Consider the following 24,620-nt stretch of genomic DNA (forward strand, 5'->3'; position numbering starts at 1 on the left):
AGTCACAGTACACCTACAACCTGAAGGAAACTGTACTATTAACACAAGGAAAAAACGACCCAGTCTACACACCAGCTTTGTCCAAAACCCTCTACAACAGCTAATAAAATACACACGCAGCCAGGCGGGCCTACACCTGGGGCCAGACAGTCCCGGGAGCCATGGGCAGGGAGTCCCTGAGCCTGGGGCGCAGGAGTGCCCTGGGGTCAGCGGGCAGGACACTGCCTCCAGTGCCTGTGGCTAGTGCAGGGATGTAACTTTACAGCGATGTCTCAGACATGGACAGAGGAAAAAAGTGAGGCTGGCACTGGGTGGCAAAGCTCACAATTTCAGCCGCAGCAGCAGCAACAATACATTGCCTCTAACTAAGGCAGTGTCGATCCTGAAAAAAAAAAAAAATCCATCTCTTCACCTCTGAGTAGCTGGTTCAGGATTTTTTTTTTTTTTTTTTTGAGAACAAGTCTCGCTCTGTCACCCAGGCTGGAGTGCAGTGGCACGATCTCAGCTCACTACAACCTCCGCCTTTGCGGTCCAAGCAATTCTCGTGCCTCAACCACCTGAGTAGCTGGGATTACAGGAGCAAGCCACCACACCCAGCTAATTTTTGTATTTTTGGTAGAGATGGGGTTTCACCATGTTGGTCAGGCTAGTCTTGAACTCCTGACCTCAGGTGATCCACCCGCCCTGGCCTCCCAAAGTGCTGGGATTACAGGCGTGAGCCACTGCTCACGGCTCAGGAAATATTTAAGTAAATGAAAGAGTGTGCTTCAAGATCGCGAGTGACATACTAAAACAGGTCAAAAACGTACCTCAGATACGAAAGAATGGTTGGAAAAATGACTACAAATGTGCTAACTCCAGTCCATCTGAAGGTCAGCTACGCGGATGCAGCCACGCCTCTGTCAAGCACACAGGCACCTGGGTCGACTTTCCACCCGAGTGAGCACAGTCCAAGATGGTCTCTCTTGTTTGGGATTTAATTTTCCTAAATATTTTTCTGCTATGCTCAAATTCTAGCATTACTACTTTTAGGTTGGGGAAGAGAAACTTTATTTAAAAAGAATGTGTGCTTATTTGTTTAAAAGAAAAAAATAAGTGACCGGGTGTGGTGGCTCACGCCTGTAATCCCAGCATCTTGGGAGGCTGAGGTGGGCGGATCACCTGAGGTCAGGAGTTTGAGACCAGCCTGGCCAACATGGCAAAACCCCGTCTCTATTAAAAATACAAAAATTAGCCGGGCATGATGGCACACACCTGTAATCCCAGCTACTCCGGAGGCTGAGGAGGGAGAATCGCTTGAACCCGGAAGGCAGAGGTGGCAGTGAGGCAAGATTGTGCCATTGCACTCCAGCCTGCACAACAGAGCAAGAAAAAAAAAGAACCTGCTCAGAGGCCAGACCCTCATGGAGCTTTAGCCACTGTGTAGACTTCATCCCTGACCTCTGAGTTTCTGAAGGGGATGTGTGAATTTGAGGGTGTGATTTAGTAAGATCCAGGGCCCTGGATTATGCAACCCATGTATGATAGTGATCTCAAATTAAAACTAGCATGTTCTCACCGGGCCCGGTGGTGCCTGCCTGTGGTCTCAGCTCTACTTGAGAGGCTGATGCAGAAGCATCTCTGGAGCACAGGAGTTGGAGGCTGCAGCGAGCTGACTGTACCACTGCACTCCTGCCTGGGTGACAGGGCAAGACCCTGTCTTAAAAAATAAAACCCCAAAATGAACAAAAACAAACTCAGGGAAGGCCGTCACCTGTGGTGATCTCCAAGTGCTCTGTCCCTGGGCTGGGATGGAATGGGATGGGGGTGGGCACCCCAGCATATTCAACTCATGAGACCTCTCTGTTCAAGAGGAACAACATGTACGCCCTAGTTTCAAACTGAAAACACATGTGGGCTTGTTTCTGCCTGAGAGAAAGCTTAACACAGCACACAGCACTCCCACCCATGGAGTATTCACAGTTTTAAAAACCTACCCTTTACGGTGAAGCCCTAACAGGAGACATCCCACACCACATGCTTCCTCCTCCATAGAGGCTCCGAGAGAAGATGACTTCCAAAACAGGCCGGAGGGCGGAAGTTTGAGTCCTGTCCTGAAACCAGGTGAGCCCTCCATGGCAAGGCAGAAATGAGGAGCCCTTCCCTGGGCAGGGCAGCCCCATACTCCCAGCCAGTGAGGACGAAACAAACGCAAACACTGCTTGCGCCTGTGCCCCTGCCCCCGCCCCGACCAAGCCCCACCACTGGGCGCTGGGTCCATCCAGGATTCCCACTCTCCCCATGGCCTCCTGAGGGAGGGACTGGCCCTGGATTCTGGAGGGTTCTCCGGCAGGTGCACAACAGAGCCCACATAGGAACACCAGGGCTGCGAGGGGGAGATGCACACGGCCACAAAAGTTCCCAGTATTTGTGAAAGAGACCCTTTAAAAAATGCAGGTCGGGCACAATGGTTCACACCTGTAATCCCAGCACTTTGGGAGGCCGAGTTGGGAGGATCACCTGAGGTTGGGAGTTCAAGACCAGCCTGGCCAACGTGGTGAAACCTCATCTCTACTAAAAACACAAAAAACGGCCAGGTGTGGTGGCAGGCGCCTATAGTCCCAGCTACTCAGGAGGCTGAGGCAGGAGAATCACTTGAACCCAGGAGGTGGAGGTTGCAGTGAGCCAAGATTGTGCCACTGCCCTCCAGTCTGGGTGACAGAGCGAGACTCTGTCTCAAAAAAAACACACACACACATGCCGGGCACAGTGGCTCACACCTGCAACCCCAGCACTTTGGGAGGCCCAGGCGGGCAGATCACGAGGTCAGGAGATCAAGACCAGGCTGGCCAATATGGTAAAACCCGATCTCTACTAAAAATACAAAAAAAAAAAAAAAAAAATTAGCCGGGCGTAGTGGCAGGTGCCTGTAATCCCAGCTACTCTGGAGGCTGAGACAGGAGATTGGCGTGAAGTCGGGAGGCAGAGGTTGCAGTGAGCCAAGATCACGCCACTGCACTCCAGCCTGGGCAACAAGAGAGAAACTCCGTCTCAAAAAAAAAAAAAAAACAAAATCAAAACAAAACAAAACCCACACACACACAAAAGAAAAATGTAAAGGCCTGGGCTCAACCCCAAGCAGATGCAGGGATGGGACGGCCCAGCAGCAACACAGGCCAAGAGCTGTGCCCAGAAGATGCACCTGGTTGCAGAGGTGCTGAGAGCGGGGCCCTGGGTGCTTGGGGGACTGAGGACCGTCCTGGGGCCTCAGGAGCTGCACCTGGCTTTCCTCGCAGACACCACTCAGGATGGGACTGGTCTAGTGTCCTGCCGATGTGTGGTCTGTGGCCTAAGTGGCCGCTGGGAAGAGTCTCTCTCTCCTCGGCCTCCTTGGCCGGCATCGTCTAGGAGTTGCTGGGGGCTTGCAGCTGGGCCTGAGCAGTTCCGTGTGGGGCAACCACCAACGACCAGAAGCTGCGGCTCTCGGGCAAGAGTCATTGCGGGTCTGGCCGCCGGGCCGCCGCCCACATTGACGCGGGTCCTGATGGTGCTGGGGTCCCACTCCAAGTCCCCAGAGTGTGTCCAGGCAGGGACTGCAGCGAGGGCCCCCACCACGTGGCTCCAGCAGCCCTGTCCTCCTGATCCCATGCCCAGCTCCCCCGCCACACCCTGCACAGCAGAGGATGTAGGAGAGGAAGGGGTGGGCTCCAGGGCTGCAGCAGCAGAGGCCAGACCCGGGCTGAGCTGAGCAGGGCCCGGCCTCACTGTACCCCCAACCCCATCCCATTCCACCCCAGCCCAGGGACAGAGAACTTGGAGACCACCACAGGTGGCCTTCCCTGAGTCCCTCACTGTCACTGTCAGGACAGAGAGGCAGGTTTGGGTCCCTTGGGCGCTGGTGGCCATGGAACATGGGGCTTCAGCACATCCCATCACTCACCAAGCGTCTCTGCAAGCAAAGCCCTGCACGGGTGTGGCCAGGTGTCCCCCACCACCCCAACACGGTGGGTGTCCCCCACCACCCCAACACGGCAGGTGTCCCCACCACCCCAACACGGCCTTTCCCCAGGGGCTGAAAGGGACCAAGGACACACACAGCCCAGCTCCTGGCACTGTCTTGCCCCCAGCTCTGCCTGCTGCCCACTCCGGGCTTCTGGAAGAATCTGCCCCCCAGGGTCTGGGCTCCCAGCCAGGCCCCCACGGGTCCCCACAGCCCAGCACCATCACGTGTCTCAGTGCCCAGTGACTCCCTCCAACTAAAGGCCTCCCAAAGCTGCCAGCCCAGGTGCTCACAGCTGTGCCCCCGACTCCAAGCCTTCACTGGACTCCCCACCCCATCACTGTCCCCCACCCTCAGTGCCCTCACTGGCCCACAACCCCTACTTTCAATTTTTTTTTTGAGATGGTCTCACTCTCTCACCCAGGCTGGAGTACAGTGGTGTAATCACAGCTCACTGCAGCCTCGACCTCCTGGGTTCAAGGGATCCTCCCACCTCAGCCTCCCAAGTAGCTGGGACCACAGGTGCGCACCACCATGCTTGGCTAATTATTTTATTTTTAGTAGAGTCGGGGTCTCACTATGTTGCCCAGGCTGGTCTTCAACTTCTGGGCTCAAGTGATCCTCCTGCCTCGGCCTCCCACAGCGCTGGGAGCACAGGCGGCCAACTCCCACAACTCCCATCATCTGTCAACAACCTCCCCGTTCTCAGTCCCTGAGCCGGACGGCGCCTGCTCTGCCTGGCTCCTGGGAGGCTCCTCGTCCCCAGCGCCTGCGGCACCCAGGCCAGGAGCCTCTCTGAGTCAGGGCTTGTTTCCACAACCACACGTGCAACACAACCAAAGTGACAGATGACTGAAAATACGCGTCTGGCTTCTCTACAAAAATGACGATTCTGTAACATGTCCTGAAATAGAAGCGCTGTCCCTGAAAAGCTACAGCATGAACACAGAAGGAGGTCAGGGAGAAAGGAGGACGGTGCTGGACTTACCGAGGACGGCCTCCACAGTGCTGCTGGCGGGGCCGAGCGGGAGGGCACGGGCGGGGGGCGCGGGCAGCGCAGTGGGGGAGGAGCTGCCGGAGCCGGCGCTGGACGCCAGGCTGGACGCCACGCTGGAGCTCACGCTGGGGGCCGGCGGGTGGACCGCTGCAAACACGGCCAGGTGGTTCTGTTCAAAGACATAAACACCGTGAGCGCGCACCCCCTGCGTGGAGGAGGCAGCGCCACGTCGGCACCCTGCAGAAAGCACCGCGGGACGGCGGCCAACTTCTACGCCCTGGCGAGGCCCAGGGAGAGCTTCCCAGACCCGGAGGGACTCTGACCGCACCGAGGAGAAACACCAGGACGGCAGGGCAGCGGGCTACGGTGCACTTGGGACAGGCACAGACACCTCTGGGGAGTGTCTCGTGAGCTTTTCTGCAGAAAACGTTTCAGGAGTAGACATTTGCCAGTAAAAATCAATCTGGCACGTGCAGAAAGATGTGTCAGCGGCCAGGAGCCCGCCAGCCCGAGGGGCAAGCCGTGCAGCCTGCCTGCCCTTCTCCCCACACCTCCTGGGTGCCCCCGCCCCGGCTCTCGCCCAGGACTGGCTCCTGAGCACCTTGGGGGGCCCCCAGAGAAATGTCCTCCCAGGGACTTAAAAAGAGATCCAGCACCACTTCCAAAACATCCATAGCGTGGTCCTGTGACCTCGTCACCAGGGAAAGTAAAACACAGGGCAATTCACATGATCTGTATTTGGTGGATAATAGATCAAAAGAAAAAGAGCAACACACAGAGCAGTGCTGAATAAAAACCCAGTAACGGGGAGGGTGCTGCTCACAAGAAAACACCCGACACAAAAGACCCAGAGCCACCTACGAGGTCACTGCAAAACCAAGCATCAAAAGCTGGATTAGAATGAGTTTCTGGCTGGGCACAGTGGCTCATGCCTGTAATCCCAGCACTTTGGGAGGCCAAGGTGGGCAGATTACTGGAGGTCAGGAGTTCGAGACCAGCCTGGCCAACATGGCGAAACCCTGTCTCTACTAAAAATACAAAAAAAATTAGCCAAGGCCGGGCGCGGTGGCTCACACCTGTAATCGCAGCACTTTGGGAGGCCGAGGTGGGCAGATCACCTGAGATCAGGAGTTCGAGACCAGGCTGCCCAACATGGAGAAACCCCATCTCTACTAAAAATACAAAAAATTAGCCGGGCGTGGTGGTGGGCGCCTGTAATCCCAGCTACTTGGGAGGCTGAGGTAGGAGAATTGCTTGAATCCGGGAGGCAGTGGTTGTGGTGAGCCGAGATCGCACCAATGCACTGCAGCCCAGGCAACAGAGAGACTCTGTTTCCAAAAAAAATGAATTGCATCCTGAAATATTACAATTCAAATGGTATGATATCTGGGTTTTGCTGCAAAGTAATGCAGAAAAAGTTAACCTTGGGAGGTGTGATTTTACTAGTTTGTCTCCTTAAGTAAAACTGTCCATAATGAAGAAATTTTAATGTGCATTTCCTAAAGATCAGAAATCCCCGACAAGAACGCGCCTGGCTCCTGGCTTCTGTGACCTAAGGGTCCTGCTGCCTGCCCTGGCTTCCTTCTGGATACCAGATTTGCCCCTCAGCCCACGGCCCAGGAGGTGCACAGAGCCCCCCGTGACTGACTCTGAAAACAGTCCCCTCCAGCTGCAAAGTCTGGAGACAGCCACCAGAGCTCCCTGCCCAGGTGCGAGAAGGGGCCTGCCCCCTCGTCCATAATCCACTTCCTCTCCCTGGCCCAGAGACCACTTTTCCTCAAGCCATGAAAAAACGGACCACAGTCCACCCCGTGAGCATCAGGGACGGCGGTAACTCCTGCACCCTACACCGCAGACCCTCCCAGCCATGCAGCACCGGGGACCCTCCCAGCAATGCAGCACCGGGGACCCTCCCAGCCATGCAGCACCGGGGACCCTCCCAGCCATGCAGCACCGGGGACCCTCCCAGCCATGCAACACCGGGGACACTCCCAGCCATGCAACACCGGGGACACTCCCAGCCATGCATGGTGCTGCCAATACCCCCTATCAATCCCCCATGGTGAGCCTGGTGACAGGGTTGCTGGAAGCCTCATGTTCTCCAGCAAGCAGCCCAGAAACACTATGGGTGATTCGAGACCTGGTGCCATCTCAGTGGCAACCCGCCCCCTATCCCTTGCACTTCCTGTCCCTGCTTCAGACCCTCAGTGTGGCCCCAGGAAGGCTGAGAAGGACCTCTTGACAGACGTTCTGGTGACCAGACATCCAGGAGCAACGCACACCTGGGAGCTCCTTGTACCCCGATGGCTTGGATCGGGGAGGGAGCCGACCTTCTCTACCAGCAAAGGACAGGGCCACCTGGGCTGTGGGGCTGAGGAGGCAGGCACCAGCAAGGGGTGAGTGACGTGGGGCGGTCTGCTGAGCTCACCGCATCCAGCAGCTATCACTCAGAACCAAAAGCTCAGGATGGCAACGCACGGCCCTCCGGGGACGTGGACACTGCACAGCCGCACGGCTGCCCGGCCCTCCGGGGACGTGGACACTGCACCGCCGCACGGCTGCCCGGCCTGCGGAAGCCCTCCCCCACCCCCGCCTCATCCCATCTCTTGGCAGCCCACCCTGTGTCCCGGGGTCTGCCCAGGTCCGTGCTCTGGGGCACGGTCCCTACACACAAGCTGCCCCTGCTCAGTCAGGCTGAGGTTCCCCATGTCCTGACCCACCAGTAGCCTAGAGGCCACCGCCCGGGTCACAGTCACCCCTGTGGATGTCCTCTCAGCTCCATGACCCCTGTGGGCGTCTCAGTCCTTGCCTGAACCCAACTCCAGAGCATCACCCAGGCCCAGAGGCCACCTCCCATGTAAGGGAGAGCTGAGGGACTGTTGCCTGGAAGGGCCCCGGGCCCACCAAGAAGCCGTGGACGACGCTGGGGTTTGCAGAGCAGGCCTGCCCCGCCCTGGGTCGGACAGGGAGTCTGTGCCCCGCACCTGTGTCTGCATAGAGCCCAAGAATGCAGAAAGCCAGGAGGCACCACAGTGCAGGTGCCACGTTTGCCCCCAAAGCAGCACTGATCTGAGGGCTGGGCACGGGCTGACCCTCGGCTGGGACAGGCAGCCTCAGGCTCCCAAAGCGCTGCCCGGCCCAGGGTGAATGCAGCACCCTCAGAAGCCAAGGCCGCCTCCTTCCCGCCTGTCTGCAGGAGGGGACTCCACCCCGGAGGCCTTCCCCAGCCTACTGGAGGCCATAAACCAACAGGGACCAGAGAGGAAGCCTCAGCCCTGAGTGACCCCCCAGACCCCATGCTGACCCTGCCCGGGAGCTGGCCAGGGTGATGCGCACACTGTGACTTCAGCCCAAACGATCACCTGAAAATCATCAACATCCATGTCACTCCTTGTACCCCAAGGCACAATGGCCACAGATGACGGGCCTGGTGTGGGAGTCCATCCACATGAGGGATGGGCACAGTGAGAGGGGTCAGACGAGAGCTCCGTGAGGATCCCGCACCTTCACTAACACCGGCACCGTTCTCCCCGTGGGGACGCCACACCTCCGCTACCACCAGCACCGTTCACACCATGAGGACACCGCACCTCCGCTAACACCAGCACCGTTCGCCCCGTGGGGACAGCACACCCCAAGCTACCACCAGCACTGCCTGCCTGGTTTTTCTTCTCTGTATTATAGTGAAATATAATATAAAATTTGCTACAGTGGCCATGGTTTGGTGTAGTACGTGGCATGAATTCCATCCACACCGCTGTGCAGCCATCACCGCGTCCACCTCCAGAACTCCTCATCTTCCAGCCGGAAGCTCTGACCCCGTGAACACTTGCCCCCTCCCCCGGCCCCGGCCCCGGCCCCCACCATGCCACCTGCTGTCTGTGAATGTGACTCCACTAGAGACCTCCTGTGAGTGGAATCACGCAGGTTTTGCCTTTCGGTAACTGGCTCATTTCAGTCAGCACAGTGTCTTTGTTATGGACCAAACGTGTCCCCCCCAAATTCCTACGTGGAAGCCTTGACCCCCGGTGTGACTAAATTTGGAGATAGGGCCTGTGAGGAGTAATTAAGGTGAAATGAGTTCTTACTCCAGGCGTGGAGGCTCACACCTGTAATCCCAACACTTTGGGAGGTCAAAGCAGGAGGATTGCTTGAGCCTAGGAGTTCGAGAACAGGCTGGGCAACCCCATTTCTAAAAAAATACAAAAATTAGCCAAGCCTGGTGGTGTATGCCTGGGGTCCCAGCAACTCAGAAGGCTGAAGTGGGAGGACTGCTTCAAGCCTGGGAGTCCCGGGCTGCAGTGAGCTGGGACTTGGCCACTGCACTACACCTGGGTGACACAGCCAGACCCTGCCTCAAAAAATTTAAGAATCTGTAAAAACACAACAGCAACAATGAAATGAGGTGTGGGGGCAGGGCCCTACGCAGCCACTGTCCTCAGGAAGAGACCCCAGGGATGCCCACGCACAGAGGGGTGACCCCAGAGGACACGGAGGAGGCAGCATCTGCACCCGGGGGGCCTCAGGAGCCAGCTCTGGACAGCTCAAGCTCGGACTCAGCCCCCAGAACTGAGAGAGTCAAGTGCTGCTGCTTGGGGATTGGTTTTGGTTTGGTTTGAGACAGGGCCTCACTCTGTCGCCCAGGCTGGAGTGCTTGGCTCACTGCAACCTCCACCTCCTGGGCTCCAGCAATTCTCTTGCCTCAGCCTCCCAAAGTACTGGAACCACAGGTGTGAGCTACTGTGCCCAACTAAAACTACCTCATTCATTCATTCATTCATTCATTCAGAGACAGAGTCTCACAGTGTCACCCAGGATGCAGTGCAGTGGCACGATCTCGGCTCACTGCAATCTCCACCTCCCGGCTTCAAGCAATTCTCCTGCCTCAGCTTCCCGAGTAGCTGGGACTACAGGCACGTGCCACCATGCCTGGCTAATATTTTGTATTTTTAGTACAGATGGGGTTTCACCATGTTGGCCAGGCTGGTCCCGGACTCCTGACCTCGTGATCCGCCCACCTTGGCCTCTCAAAGTGCTGAGATTACAGGTGTGAGCCACCGTGCCCGGCAAGTTCTGCTGTTGGAACGGCCCCATCTGCATCCTTCCCTCGCAGCCCAAAAAAGTAACACAGATGGGCTCCAAAGGGCCCCTCTTATTTCCCCGAGCACGATGTTGTGGCTTTGTTTCCAAGGTATAACACGAACGTTTCAAACAGACAAACACGGGGGTACCAGGAAAGAGCTAATTCTACAACAAGCGGACGTCAACCAGATGGCTTTGCGAGCCGAGAGTGGGCGGGACCAAGGATGCATGAGCGCTGCCCTAACGCGATGCCACGGGTCAGGCACGAGGGCGGGAAGCCTCAGCCCTAACGCGACATCAGGCACGAGGGTGGGAAACCTTGGGGGCCTGTACCTGCTTGCTGTCTTGCTCGCTGCCCCTAGGGCCACCCTCGGCCGGCGAGTCTCTCCGCTTGGCCTGCAACATAAAAAACAGTCATATGTGGAAAAAGCAGGGAGGAAATGTAAATTAAAAACATACAATTCAGGCTGGGCACAGTGGCAGCACTTTGGGAGGCTGAGGCGGGCGGATCATCTGAGCTCAGGAGTTCGAGACCAGCCTGGCCAACATGGTGAAAACCTGTCTCTACTAAAAACACAAAAAATAGCCAGGCGTGGTGGCACATGCCTGTAGTTTCAGCTCCTCGAGAGGCTGAGGCAAGAAAATCGCTTGAACCCAGGAGGTGGAGGTTGCAGTGAGCCGAGATGGCACCATTGCACTCCAGCCTGGGCAACAAGAGTGAAACTCCGTCTCAAAAAATAGAATAAAAAATTTAAAAAAGGATATCGCTTGAACCCAGGAGGTGGAGGCTGCAGTGAGCCAAGGTCATACCACCGCACTGCAGGCTGGGTGATAGAGTGAGACTCTGTCTCCAAAAAAAAATACACACACACACACACACACACACACACACACACAATATATATGTACCTATTCAGCAGTACTCTTGGTCCCTTAAAGATACACACACACACACACACACACACACACACACACACACACACACATAAGCTCTGCTCAGAATTTAGACGAATGCTATTTTTGGTTTTGTTTTGTTTTGAGACAGGATCTCGCTCTGTCTCCCAGGCTGGAGTGCAGTGGCATGACCTCCCTGGCTAAAGCAATCCTCCTGTCTCAGCCTCCCAAGAAGCTGTGAGCACAGGCATTTGCCAGTGGACCCAGTTAATTTTTCAAAGCTTTCTGTAGAGACAGGGTCTTGTTATGTTGCCTAGGCGGGTCTCGAACTCCTGACCTCGAGCGATTGTCCCACCTCAGCCTCCCAAAGTGCCTGGTTTACAGGCGTGAGCCACTGCAACTGGCCAAAGATGCCAAATCTCGAAGGTCTCATGAAACAGAAGAGATGCCTGAACCTGCTGGCTCCCTGTCGGTTCTCCTGAGTTCCATTTCTTTTCTTTTCATTTTTTTTCTGAGACAAAGTCTCACTCTGTCATCCAGGCTGGAGTGCAGTGGCGCGATCTCAGCTCACTGCAAGCTCCACCTCCCGGGTTCAAGCAATTCTCCTGCCTCAGCCTCTGGAGTAGCTGGGATTACAGGCGCACGCCACCACGCCCGGCTAATTTGTGTATTTTTAGTAGAGATGGGGTTTCACCATGTTCATCAGGCCGGTCTCGAACTCCTGACCTCAGGTGATCCACCCGCCTTGGCCTCCCAAAGTGCTGGGATTACAGGCGTGAGCCACCGCGCCCGGCCCTGAGTTCCATTTCTTACATTTGAACGTGGCTCTCTGACCTTGGGTTGGTCCGTGTGAAGGCAGGGTGCCAGCTCTGCACTCCCTGAACCAACCATGGCATCAAACCCCAAACCGAGCCATTCACCTAAGGCAGAGGCTCAGGTGAAACTGTTAAGAAATATATGAAGGGAGTCAGAGTGTGCCACCCCAAAACATGCCACTCTTTGACAAAAAGATTATTTTGAGTTGAAGGCAGCTGAGAAACAGTAGATGCAGGAGCAGCTCTCTGCTTCCTTCCTGCCTCGAAGCCGGGCGTGAATTCCCTCTGTGAAGGTGTCCTCTCCCCTCTCCACACCAGGAGGAGAGACTGCAGATTGAGGCTGCATAACCAACCTCACTGAAGTTGCTCTTACCTTCCGCCAGTCTCCCCCATAGCCTTACCTTCCTAGAAGCCCAACCCCCTCTTCCCCCCTCTTTTTTTGTTTGAGATGGGGTCTTATTCTGTCACCCAGACTGAAGTGAAATGACGGGACCTCACCTCACCACAACCTCCGTCTCCTGGGTTCAAGTGATTCTCCCGCCTCAGCCTCCTGAGTAGCTGGGATTACAGGCACCCACCACCACACCTGGTTAATTTTTGTATTTTTAGTAGAGATGGAGTTTCACCATGTTGGCCAGGCTGGTCTTGAACTCCTGACCTCAGGTGATCCACCCGCCTCAGCCTCCCAAAGTGCTGGGATGACAGGCGTGAGCCACTGCCCCCAGCCTAGTGGCAAGGATTTTTCTAGACTCTTCTAGAAGAGCCACGAACTCCACAGACTGCCCACGACCACATTGCTGAAAACTCATATCCATCCACATCCCTAAGAGTTCAATTAAACCAAAGGACACTGGGCATTGTCCTGGGAAGGCCGTTCACTTACATTTCCCGGCTGGCCGCTGCCCGTGGAGGAAGGACTCGTGAGGTGGAGGTCGTGACAGCCCCATTCATTCACCATCCCCAGGCTCTCTGCAAGGACAGGGGAGCAGCAGACTCTGAGGGCCGCTGGTGGGCGACAGTGACACGCAGAAGTCTCCGCACCACACGTCAGGGCCGAGTGTGCGCAGCCTCGTCACAATCATCCCTCAGGGGTGCGGCAGAGGACGGCTGGGCAGTGGTGGGGACACTCAGGGCAACAGGACCCTCTGGTCTTAGACCAGTTTTTCATGTTTTTAACACTAAAAGCAATGTTTAAAACGTGAACAAGAATAGCTGCCCTCCCCACTAAAATAAAAAACAAAGGAAAATTTGAGCTTGTGACCACACACACAAAACCTGGAACCCAAATCCTAGGGCTGGGAGGAGGAGGCCGTGTGGGTTCCCACTGAACCCAAACCCCAGGGCTGCGAGGAGGAAACCCACTGCAGCGTGGAGGAGGCCGCATGGGTTCCCACTGAGTCCAAACCCCAGGGCTGCCAGGAAACCCACTGCAGCGTGGAGGAGGCCGCGTGGGTTCCCACTGAACCCAAACCCCAGGGCTGCCAGAAGGAAACCCACTGCAGCGTGGAGGAGGCCGCGTGGGTTCCCACTGGGGCTTGTTTCTGCTGCTGGGAACTTATTAGGGACCACATAATCGCCAAAGCTAAGCCCTCATCCCCTGGACAGCAAACGGGCTCTGGAAAGCACAGGGTCACCCTGAGCAACCCTGCTTGAGGGTCTCTGCTGTCTCCCCGAGCTGGGGCGGACAGACCCCCTCTCTCCACAAGGGAGGTGGTGCTCCTGGGTGGGTGCCTGGCAAGATGGCAGTCTCGGAGCAAGGCCCAGGCAGTGGGTGGCAGAAGGACCCAGCTTGGATGCCCAGGAGGCAGGTGGAGGTGCCAGCCAGCCCACACCAGGACTCAGCCTCCAGGCTCAGGGCCCCAGCGTGCCTGAAGACAGGGTCCCTGCAGATTCCACCAGGCCTGGCCCACGCCGGCGTGGAGGGAGCCCAGCCTCACATGGCACAAACACCCCAGGGAGCCTCCACGGGCATGTCAGGGACCCCCAGCCCCCAACCACGGTGCTGAGCTCCTGCCCGCCTTCCAGGTCCTCGTGGGCAGCTCCGGGTCATCGGTAACTCCAGTGAGGGCCTGCAGAGCCGCGGAACCTGCTAAGGTGAACCTGCCACAGGGACGGTTACTCACTCTCAACGTGTGCAAAGGCACAGAAGGGGCCGCGCGGGCAGTACCCGGTTTGGCGCATGTCGTTGCATTTTGTAGATTTGTAGATCTGGGGAAAAAAGTGAAATAAAGAGGTTGGATTGGAAATGGGATTCTGTGGAAAGACCACAGCTGGCATCATCCCAAGGGAGAGGATTAAGCTCCAAATCGTAACAAGACACCCCTGAAAAGGGGGGCGTGGGCCCTGCCCTCCTCCACGTGTGCCCTTGGTCCCCACATCCCTCCTCTCTGCAGAGCCGACCCACAGGGAACACGCACACATGTGGGGCCATTCCCGCAGCATCTGCCCTCCCATCACAGGCAAAGTCATTTCCCCGCTTGATATTTTCTGAAAGATGCACCAAATTCAGAGTCTGGTATGCAGCAGGTGCCTAATAAGTGCCTATTAAAAGGAACACGTGTGTCTGTTCCCTGATCAGACCCACTGACCCTTCACCTAGGGTGACAGCCCCTCTCATGAGGTCAACAACACTTAAGACCCGGCAAGGGACAGACCAGCCTGGAAGCCCCCAGTCGGCCTTGGGAGGCCTGGCCCAGCCCCTCCTGCTCCGTAGCTCTCCGTAAAGGACACGGCACCTGGCACGCCAGGCCTCCAGTGCCCACACCTGCCTGGGTCCCAGCAGGAAGCCTCTCTCCTGACCTCCGGCCTGGCCCCACCCCCCCATGGCCCTTCCACCACGTCGGGCACCCGGTGGGGTCCCGTTTGCTTGTTCATTTTGTTTGTTTTTTGAGAGAGAGTCTCGCTCTGTCACCCAGGCTGGAGTGCAGTCGCAAGATCTCGGCTCACTGCAACGTCCACCTCCCGAGTTCAAGTGATTCTCTTGCCTCAGCCTCCCAAGTAGCTGGGATTACAAGCATGTGCCACCACACCTGGCTAATTTTTGTAGTTTTAGTAGAGATGGGGTTTCGCCATGTTGGCCAGGCTGGTCTCAAACTCCTGACCTCGGCCCCACAAAGTGCCGGGATTACAGGCGTGAACCACCGTGCCCGGTCTGTTCATTTTTTTTTTTTTTTTTTTTGAGCCAGAGTCTGGCTCTGTCGCCCAGGCTGGAGTACAATGGTGCCATCTTGGCCCACTGCAACCTCTGCCTCCTGGATTCAAGCAATTCTCCTGCCTCAGCCTCCTGAGTAGCTGTGACTACAGCCATGAGCCACCAAACCTGGCTAATTTTTGTATTTTTAGTAGAGACGGGTTCACCATGTTGGCCAGGCTGGTCTCGAACTCCTGACCTCAGGTGATCTGCCTGCCTCGGCCTCCCAAAGTGCTGGGATTACAGGCGTGAGCCACTGTGCCTGGCCTGTTTGTTTTTAATACAAATCTGAGTATGGTCCCTTGGCAACTACACGGCTGGGTGTGAACACAGCCTCCCTGTACCGTCCATACCCTGCACCTTCTAGTGGAGGCACAGGCCTGGCTCCATCTCAGGCTGCCCCTTCCGCCCCAGGAACCTCCTGCCTCGGAAGAGTCCTTGTTTACCTGGGGCGGGGCCCAGGCGGGAGGGTTTATCTCCCTCAGGATTTATGGTGCGGCTGTGGCCCACGTGGTGCCAGCTCCACTCAGCTGGGTACCAGAGACTGGGGTCTGCAACCAGGCCTGCGTGACTGAACACAGAAAACGCCCCGGACACCGGACTCCCGACAGGCCCCTGGTGACACCATTGAGTGTGTGGTCACCGACACCCAGAAAGCATGATGCGCGTCTGTGACAACATGAGTCAAGAAACGACGGGAAGCAGCGCCTGGTCCTTCCCAGCCCCTGCACGCCTCCCCCTTGGCTGAGGATTTTACTTTTTTTAGATAGAGTCTTGCTCTATCCCCCAGGCTGGAGTGCAGTGGCGCACTCTTGGCTCACTGCAACCTCAGCCTCCCAGGTTCAAGTGATCCTCGCGCCTCAGCCTCCAAGTAGCTGAGACTATAGGCGCGCACCACTACACCTGGCTAATTTTTGTATTTTTAGTAGAGACAGGGTTTCACCATGTTGACCAGGCTGGTTTCGAACCCCTGACCTCAAGTGATGTGCCCACCTCAGCCTTCCAAAGTGCTGGGATTACAGTGTGAGCCACCGTGCCTGGCCTGAACATGTGTTTTGTTTTGTTTTTTTTCCTTGAGATGGAGTCTCGCTCTGTCCTCCAAGCTGGAGTGCAGTGGCGTGATCTCGGCTCACTCTAAGCTCTGCCTCCCGGGTTCAAGCGATCCTCACGTCTCAGCCTCCCAAGTTCAAGTGCTCCTCGCGTCTCAGCCTCCCGAGTAGCTAGGACTACAGGCGCGCACCACCACACCCAGCTAATTTTGGTATTTTTAGTACAGACATGTTGACCAGGCTGGTTTCGAACCCCTGACCTCAAGTGATTTGCCCGCCTCTGCCTCCCAAAGTGCTGAGATTACAGTGTGAGCCACCGTGCCTGGCCTGAATATATATATTTTTTTCTTTTTCTTTTTTTTCCTGAGGCAGAGTCTTGCTCTGTTGCCCAGGCCAGAGTGCAGTGGCACGATCTCAGCTCACTGCAAGCTCCGCCTCCTGGGTTCACGCCATTCTCCTGCCTCAGCCTCCTGAGTAGCTGGGACTACAGACGCCCGCCACCACGCCTGGCTGATTTTTTGCATTTTTAGTAGAAACGGGGTTTTGCCAGGATGGTCTTGATCTCTTGATCTCGTTATCCAGCTGCCTCAGCCTCCCAAAGTGCTGGGATTACAGGCGTGAGCTACTGCACCCAGACCTGAATATGTATGTTTTTAATTGACATTTTCTCTCTGCTTTTTTCCCACATGACTCTTTCTTCTGTTACAGGCCAAGTGGAGAGACTCGCTGGCTGAGGGCAGCCCGAAGGCCAGCAAGCAAGACAAGCAAGCAGGTACAGCCCTCATGCCTCCACCCCCAGGCTTCCCGACCTGTGCCAGCCCTCGGCCAAAGTTAATCACTGTTCCTTCTGTGTGATAACCACGCTGTGAACCCCACAGCTTCTCTGGGACCTTCCAGCGACCCCTACGCCTGGGGGGTTGGAGGGACGTACCTCGGGATGGAACTGCTGCTCCGTGCGGGAGTGGCAATACTGGCAGCCGTCGCCGCCATCGCAGCGTGAGGGTTCCCCCCACTCATCCCCGTGCTTCACACTGGGGCAGGGCGTGGACCTGGGGATGAGGAGGTGTCAGGGGGACACAGAGGACTTGGCTCCCCGCCCCCCACCCCCGTGCTTCACGCTGGGGCAGGGCGTGGACCTGGGGATGAGGAGGTGTCAGGAGGACACAGAGGACTTGGCTCCCTGCCCCCCACCCCCGTGCTTCACGCTGGGGCAGGGCGTGGACCTGGGGATGAGGAGGTGTCAGGAGGACACAGAGGACTTGGCTCCCCCACCCCGACCCCCGTGCTTCACGCTGGGGCAGGGCATGGACCTGGGGATGAGGAGGTGTCAGGGGGACACAGAGGACTTGGCTCCCCCACCCCGACCCCCGTGCTTCACGCTGGGGCAGGGCGTGGACCTGGGGATGAGGAGGTGTCAGGGGGACACAGAGGACTTGGCTCCCCCACCCCGACCCCCGTGCTTCACGCTGGGGCAGGGCATGGACCTGGGGATGAGGAGGTGTCAGGGGGACACAGAGGACTTGGCTCCCCCACCCCGACCCCCGTGCTTCACGCTGGGGCAGGGCGTGGACCTGGGGATGAGGAGGTGTCAGGGGGACACAGGAAAACATGGTTCCTCGTGTGCCCAGGGGTGTCTGCCTCCCACCAGGAGGGGCCTCGGGCATGGGGCCCTGGAGTGACAGGCAACGCAGCTCTGCGCTCACGGACACGCAGGCCCGGCCAGTGCCAGGATGGGGTCAGGAGCCCCGGGGCTGTTCTTCACAGAATTTAACTTGAGTCTCAGTCAGAGCCACCCTCACGGACGTGGAGAACGCAGGGGAGAAGCAGCCGAACCTCCTGGGGACAGTGAGGCCGGGCGCCCAGACAGCACGGGGCTGTCTCCTCGCCAACTTTCTATAAAATGGAAGCGAGAGTTTTGATCCCACAATTTAAAACTCCGCACCAATTTCAAATTACCTATGTTCCTACTGCAGTGAGCTGAGACTGCACCACCGCACTCCAGCCTGGGCCACAGAGTGAGACTCTGTCTCATAAAAAAACAAAATCCTCTACTCTTCGTGGAATCTCTAGCTGCTTTATTGTAACTGATTTGTATTTATGGGACACATTAAGTGCCTGTTGAAAAAATAATTTTTATTTTCTTTCCATGACGGGCGATGACAAAATCTCAGACACTAATTTGTGGTTTGTTCTACAGCCGTTCAGGTCCTTTACTCGGAAGCTGCTCAGAGGGAGACTGAACGTGGCATAACAACAAGGAGTGGGGCGTCCTTCCCAAAGGAAGCACAGGTGCTCTCCGGGGCATGCGAGGCAGCACCAGGTCATTCAAAAGAGGCGAGGGTGGCTCTCTGCTCAAAGGAAGAGCTGGACACAGACAGGGCCTCAGGGAGGCCAAGGCCATGGCCCAGGCATCCAGACACCCTGTGGGGTCTGCACCCCCCCACCCCCCTCTCAGGTGCAAACTGCAGACAGGAGGCAAGCCAGGCCAGGCACAACCAGAAGGCCGGGCTGGAGCAAGGAGGAGAAAGGGGCTTCAGAGGCAAGCAGGCTGCGAGGTGCCAAACCCACAAGCCAGACCCAGGGGACAGCTGGGGCTCAGGCGGTGGAGGAAGGTCCTGTGTGCACCCTGGGCAGGGCGACCCTTGGGTTGTTGGCCCTGGGACTCAGCCTAAGGACCCGGCGTCCCAGCTGCCAGCTGTGAAGACAAGATTGAGCCCAGGTGACGACAGTGCCTGAGCCCCTGGCAGCTTGGGTGAGGAGACAGCATGCAGCCCACAGGCTGGAGAGCGTGGCTGCAACCAGAGGCACGGGTGGGGCACACGGGGGTCCCAGCTGGGCTTGGGGTCCCTCCTGCAGTGCTCCGTCCCCTTGCCTGGCAGAGGGGCCCCGGTAGGGGACTGCATGGGAGACACTGAGCGTAGGTGGGGAGGCCCATCCCCAGGACAGACGCGTGGGCCTCCATGGCACCTCCCACAGCCACTGTGCTTGGAGATGCCCTCCCCTCCCGGGGATGATGGTGCCACAAGGGCAGCCCTCCCATTAGAACCCCGGGGTGGGCAACGCGAGCCACGGGCCGGGAAGGACGCCCACCAGCCGGAGTCCTCTGAGCACGGTCCCGCAGGCTCACCTGTACTGGAACCGCCGGGGGTTGCGCCGCCTGTCCCGGCTATTGTGGTAGTGTGGGCACGCATAGCCCTGGCGGCACAGGCGTGGCGGCTTCGGGCACTGCTCCGTCTTGTAGCTGCCCAGCACGAAGTTGGCATCTGAAAAATGGGCCACACGGTGCCTGAGCAGCGCGACTGGAAGCAATGCTGGGCAGAGGAGACCAAAGGTGGAAGGACCTGGCTGTCCCCCAAATGGAAGGGGCTGCAGGAGGACTTGGGGAGCGCAGACACACGCCACGGCACACGCTGATGTCAAAGGACTCGCGCTCCATGAGGGAAGCCGGGCCAGAAGGCCACGTGGTGTGATTCTGTTTATGTGAAAATGCCCAGAACTAGGGAACCCACAGAGACGGAGTGGAGCCGAGACCACCAGGGCTGGGAGGGAGTCCTGCTGTGGGTGTGCGGCTTCCTTGCTGGGGGATGAAAATGTTCTCCAACTAGAGAGAGGTGATGTGTGCACAGCTTTTGAGAATATGCTAAAATCCAGAGACATGCACACCCCGAAATGCCGCATGGTGAGCCTCATGCGCACCACAGCCTCTGGGTGACAAGCACACATCAGTGTGGGTTCACTGTTGGTAAAGAGCGTACCTCGCAGTGCAGGAGGTGCACGGCAGGGGAGGCTGAGGGGGCAGGGGGTGTTTGGGAAATCTATTTTTCTACTCAGTTTTGCTGTGAACCGGAAACCGCTCTAAAAAATAAAGCCTATTTTTAGAAGTCATTCACTGGGCCGGACGTGGTGGCTCACGCCTGTTATCCCAGCACTTTGGGAGGCCGAGGTGGGTGGATCACAAGGTCAGGAGTTCAAGACTTGCCTGGCCAACACAGTGAAACCCCGTCTCTACTAAAAATAAAAAATTAGCCGGGCATACTGGTGCCTGCCTGTAATCCCAGCTACTCAGGAGGCTGAGGCAGGAGAATTGCTTGAACCTGGCAGGCGGAGGTTGCAGTGAGCTGAGATTGTGCCACTGCACTCCAGCCTGGGTGACAGAGCGAGACTCCATCTCAAAAAAAAAAAAAAAAAAAAAAAAAAAAAAAAAAAAAATCGCTGCCATACGCAATGTCCAGAATACACAAATTCACAGAGATGGGATGCAGGCCAGTGAGTGCAGGGACCAGGGAGGGGATGGGGAGGAACTGCTCATAAGCAGGGGGGTTCCTTCTGCAGGGATGGAATGTTCTGGAACTAGAGAGAGGTGGCAGCTGCACAACACTGCAGACGTGCTAAATGCCACTGGACTGTACACTTAAAAATGGTGCATTTTATGTTGTGTGTATTTTACATTTTTTTTTTTGAAACGGAGTCTCACTCTGTCACCCACACTGGAGTGCAGTGGCGTGATCTTGGCTCACTGCAACCTTCACCCCCCGAGTTCAAGAGATTCTCCAGCCTCAGCCTCCCAAGTAGCTGGGATTACAGGCGCCCACCACCACAACCGGCTAATTTTTTGTATTTTTAGCAGAGACATGGTTTCACCATGTTGGCCAGGCTGGCCTCAAACTCCTGACCTCAAGTGATCTGCCCGCCTCGGCCTCCCAAAGTGCTGAGATTACAGGCGTGAGCCAGTGCTCCCAGCCTTACCACGTTTTTTTTCAAATCAAAATCTCCCCTGCATATAACCTCATCTGTGTGCCAGCCAGGAATGCAGGTCCCCCAGCCCCGAGGGACAGCCCCCTGGTCCATATGTTTCTGGCCAAGCTCAGGGATTTGAAAGCTGCTGTCTAGAGCACCACCCCAGAGAGGCGCAGGGCTGGGGGCTCTGCTGGGCATCCTGGTGGGTGCCTGGTGGGCTGGGGGCTCTGCTGAGCATCCTGGTGGGTGCCTGGTGGGCGCCCCGGCTCTGGGACAGGACGCCTCACGAGTTCCGGTGGGAGTTGTGCTACCTCCTCGGCCACTTGGTCAATGGCTGGCCCCACTGAGATGCCAGTTGCCGCAGAGATTCAGAGCAGGTGCGGGGGAAGGCGCCTGGGCCCAAATCCCACTCGGCACCCACCCCCTGTTGGGGAGGGCTTGGTATTGGACTCCACGAGCCTCGGTTTCCCCATCTGATCACCTTGCACGTAAACTGAAAGGCACAGGGAACCAAGTGGCCCGAGCTGTTCTCGCGCTGTGCCCGCCCCCCCCACCACCGCCCTCAGCTGCGGCCGTGGAGTTACCTTGCCACCGGGGGTCCTCGCTCAGGATCTTCTCAATCATGGCCTGGCTGGCCAAGACCCCAGGCTGCAGATCCGGGACCCCTTCCCCGCCGCCCAGCTGGCCGTTCTGCAAGGCTTCCTGGGCCTGCAGCTCCCTGCAAGCCGAGGACACAGTGGTCACAGCTCTGCATCTGGAGCCTCCAAAGCTGAAACGAGGTCACTGGAGGGCACGCTCCCCTCCCACCACTGCACAGAGAGGCTGCTGCCGAAGGGTTCAGGACGGAGTCTCAGTGTGTGGCGCTCCGCTGTCCTGGCCCGCAGTCCTCATCCAAATCCCAACCACTTCATTTTGTTTGCTTTGTCTTGTTTGAGACAGGGTCTGGCTCTGTCCCCCAGGCTGGAGTGCAGTGACGCAATCACAGCTCATTGCAGTCTCCATCTCCCGGGCTCAAGCGATCCTCCCACCTTGGCCTCCCAGAGCACTGGGATTACATGTATGGGCCACTATGCTCAGCCCCACCCAAGTAAGAGCGGAGTTTTGTGTGGGCAGGATTCGCTTTTCTGCAGCCCCAGACCATGTGCTGAGTTCGTTCTCCTGGAAAGCAGCAGTGCCTCACGGCCTCAACCCCAGTGAGCTGCCCTCCGGACCCAGAAGAGAAACACACAGTGAGAAGAGCTGAAGGACTGTCTGCCCCAGACTGTGTGCTGAGTTCGTTCTCCTGGAAAGCAGCAGTGCCTCACAGCCTCAACCCCAGTGAGCTGCCCTCCGGGCCCAGAAGAGAAACACACAGTGAGAAGAGCTGAAGGACTGTCTCATTAGAAATAACATCCAGAGGCCAGGTGCAGCGGCTCACGTCTGTAATCCCAGAATTTCAGGAGGCCGAGGCGGGCAGATCATGAGGTCAGGAGATGGAGACCATCCTGGCTAACACAGTAAAACCCTGTCTCTACTAAAAATACAACAAAATAACCCAGGCATGGTGGTGTGCGCCTGTAGTCCCAGCTACTCGGGAGGCTGAGGCACGAGAATGGCGTGAACCCAGGAGGTAGACGTTGCAGTGAGCCAAGATCACGCCACTGCACTCCAGCCTGGGTAACAGAGCGAGATTCCATCTCAAAAAACAAAAAAAGAAAAGAAAAGAAAGAAATAACATCCAGAGGCCAGGCGCAGTGGCTCACTGTAATCCCAGCACTTTGGGAAGCCAACGTGGGTGGATCACAAGGTCAGGAAATCGAGACCATCCTGACTAACATGGTGAAACCCCATCTCTACTAAACATACAAAAAAAAAAAAAATTAGCTGGGCGTGGTGGTGGTCACCTGTAGTCCCAGCTACTCGGGCAGCGGAGGCAGGAGAATGGTGTGAACCCAGGAGGCAGGGCTTGCAGTGAGCTGAGATCGCGCCGCTGCACTCCAGCCTGGGTGACAGAACGAGAATCCGTCTCAAAAAAAGCAAAAAAAGGACTAACATCCAGACTCAGAAAGAAATTCTGGAGGAGAGAGATTTGGGCCAGCAGAGCCTGCAGCAGCAGGGAGGCGAGCCACTTGCCGAGTTCCTGCTCATCCAGCAGAGCCCACAGCAGCAGGCAGGCCAAGTGCCCACTCGTGGATGCCCACTCACCTGACGTCACACACGGGCGGCCGCAGGTCCAGGGGGCCGTGCGCGAAGGCACAGTGCAGCCCATTCTTCACGCAGTGGCCACGTGCGTCTGTCTCGTGGATGCAGGTTCCTGTTTTGTAGTAACGCAGGTGGTACTTGCGTTCTGTGTCCCCCGTCGTCCGGTGCAGGTAGGGACACCTGGGGAGCAGAGAGGCACGCAATGCCTGGTTATCATGGACCCAGAGGCAGCCCTAAGCTCCCTGGGTCCACGCCCTGTCAGCACGTGGCAAGCAGTGAATTCCCTTCCCTTCTTCCAGATTCCTGTTCTAATCAGAAGGACGGACACACTGGACGCAGCACCTGTCCCCAAATGTGGAACCGCCCAGGTACACAGACCACCGCAAACCCCCAGTCAACCAGTCAAACACAGTAAGAAACACAGACCATCGCAAACCCCCAGTCAGCCAAACACAGCAGGAAACACAATGCTGAATTTCCACAAAGCTCATCCTTCCTAATGTTCCAAATAAACCTTTAAACCTGTGTGGGAATGAGAGTTCATGCCCTGCACGCAGGCTGCGTCACCTTCCTTACCCGTCGCAGTCACAAAGTGGGGGCCCCTCCTGCCCAGCGTCCTGCTGCTTTCAGGGACCCCAGGAGGGAGGTAGGGGAGGGAACAAGCACAGGGCCCTGGACGCGGCTTGGGGGACACGAGGGGGATGGGCAGAAGAGGCGGCAGATGGCGTGGTGGGGAACACAGGTGAGGTAGCATCACCATCCCATGGGCCACCTGCAGGCCCAGAGCCATGCTCCTGGGGAGTCACAGGCAGCTCCTGAAGCACGATGGGGTGCAGTGGAGAGGGGAAGCAGCTGCCAAGGCTCAAGTCATAGGCAGGCAGCAGCGACGGAGACAAGGAGACGACACAAACCGCTCTGGCATTCCTGGGCGCCTCCAGGTAGGTCACTCCAGAAGGAGGCAAAGGGACGCACAGAGGACCCTGAGTCATCAATGGTGTCGAGCCCTGGCTGGTCACAGAATCACCCTGAGTGGCCCAAGGGCCAAGGCAGAGGATGACATGGGCCGTCACTGCAGGCCCCCAAATGTAAGGACTGAAACCTTCACCTCCAGCTCCAACTGGGGAGCTCCGTGAGGGCCCCGCCCACCTCACTGTGCACAGGGCTGCAGCCTGGGCACTAGGAGCTCCAGCCAGGGATGGCTGGGGACCAAGAGCGATTCAGCAACACCAGGTCTAGCCCCATCCTCTAAGGTCAGGAAACAGAGACACAGAGTTCAGAGAGGCCGACCCAGGCTCCGCTGGGCACCTGTGATGTGCCAGACACTGAAAGCTGAGGGTCGACAGAGGCAGAAGAAGGGGTGCCTGGCTGGCTCTCAGGGTCCCCAGGAGCCAGCCAAGCAAAAGTCAAATTACAACGCTACCTTGGTACCCAGCGATCCTGCTCCTAAGTACACATCCAAAAAACCTGGAGGCAGGGTCTTCAGGAGACACCTGCACACCCATGTTCACAGCAGCGTCATTCGCAAGAGCCAAGAGGCAGAAACCACCCAAGTGGGCGCCAATGGAGTCAATAAGGAAAGCGCGGGCTTCCATCCACACAACATGGTTAATGCGGGCTTCCATCCACGTGACGGGGTACACGCAGGCTTCCGTCCACAAGACAGGGTAAACGTGGGCTTCTATCCACACAATGGGGT

General features: G+C 57.1%; 1 protein-coding gene across 19 annotated transcripts in view; it reads right to left on the minus strand.

Moving 5' to 3' along the window:
- Positions 1–24,620, minus strand: part of UNKL (unk like zinc finger) — a 51,500-nt gene that overhangs the window by 17,036 nt on the left and 9,844 nt on the right. For 11 of the 19 annotated variants that reach the window (XR_007064900.1, XR_007064899.1, XR_007064897.1 and 8 more), the window contains 8 exons: positions 22,928–23,104; positions 21,328–21,461; positions 19,134–19,269; positions 16,938–17,055; positions 13,891–13,975; positions 12,651–12,736; positions 10,392–10,454; positions 4,968–5,145 (listed from right to left, as the gene is read on the minus strand). Coding sequence is in view for 11 of the 19 variants with exons in the window: in XM_047434489.1 (XP_047290445.1) it covers positions 4,968–5,145; positions 10,392–10,454; positions 12,651–12,736; positions 13,891–13,975; positions 16,938–17,055; positions 19,134–19,269; positions 21,328–21,461; positions 22,928–23,104 (977 nt within the window). In the remaining 8 variants the exon portion in view is untranslated. Of the gene's footprint in view, positions 1–4,967; positions 5,146–10,391; positions 10,455–12,650; positions 12,737–13,890; positions 13,976–16,937; positions 17,056–17,839; positions 17,900–18,060; positions 18,702–19,133; positions 19,270–21,327; positions 21,462–22,927; positions 23,105–24,620 lie in introns of those variants that run through there. The other 8 variants (XR_007064898.1, XR_007064896.1, XR_932901.2 and 5 more) reach the window with 3 other exon arrangements.

This window comes from Homo sapiens, chromosome 16, assembly GCF_000001405.40.
Source record: "Homo sapiens chromosome 16, GRCh38.p14 Primary Assembly".
Classification (NCBI taxonomy): domain Eukaryota; kingdom Metazoa; phylum Chordata; class Mammalia; order Primates; family Hominidae; genus Homo; species Homo sapiens.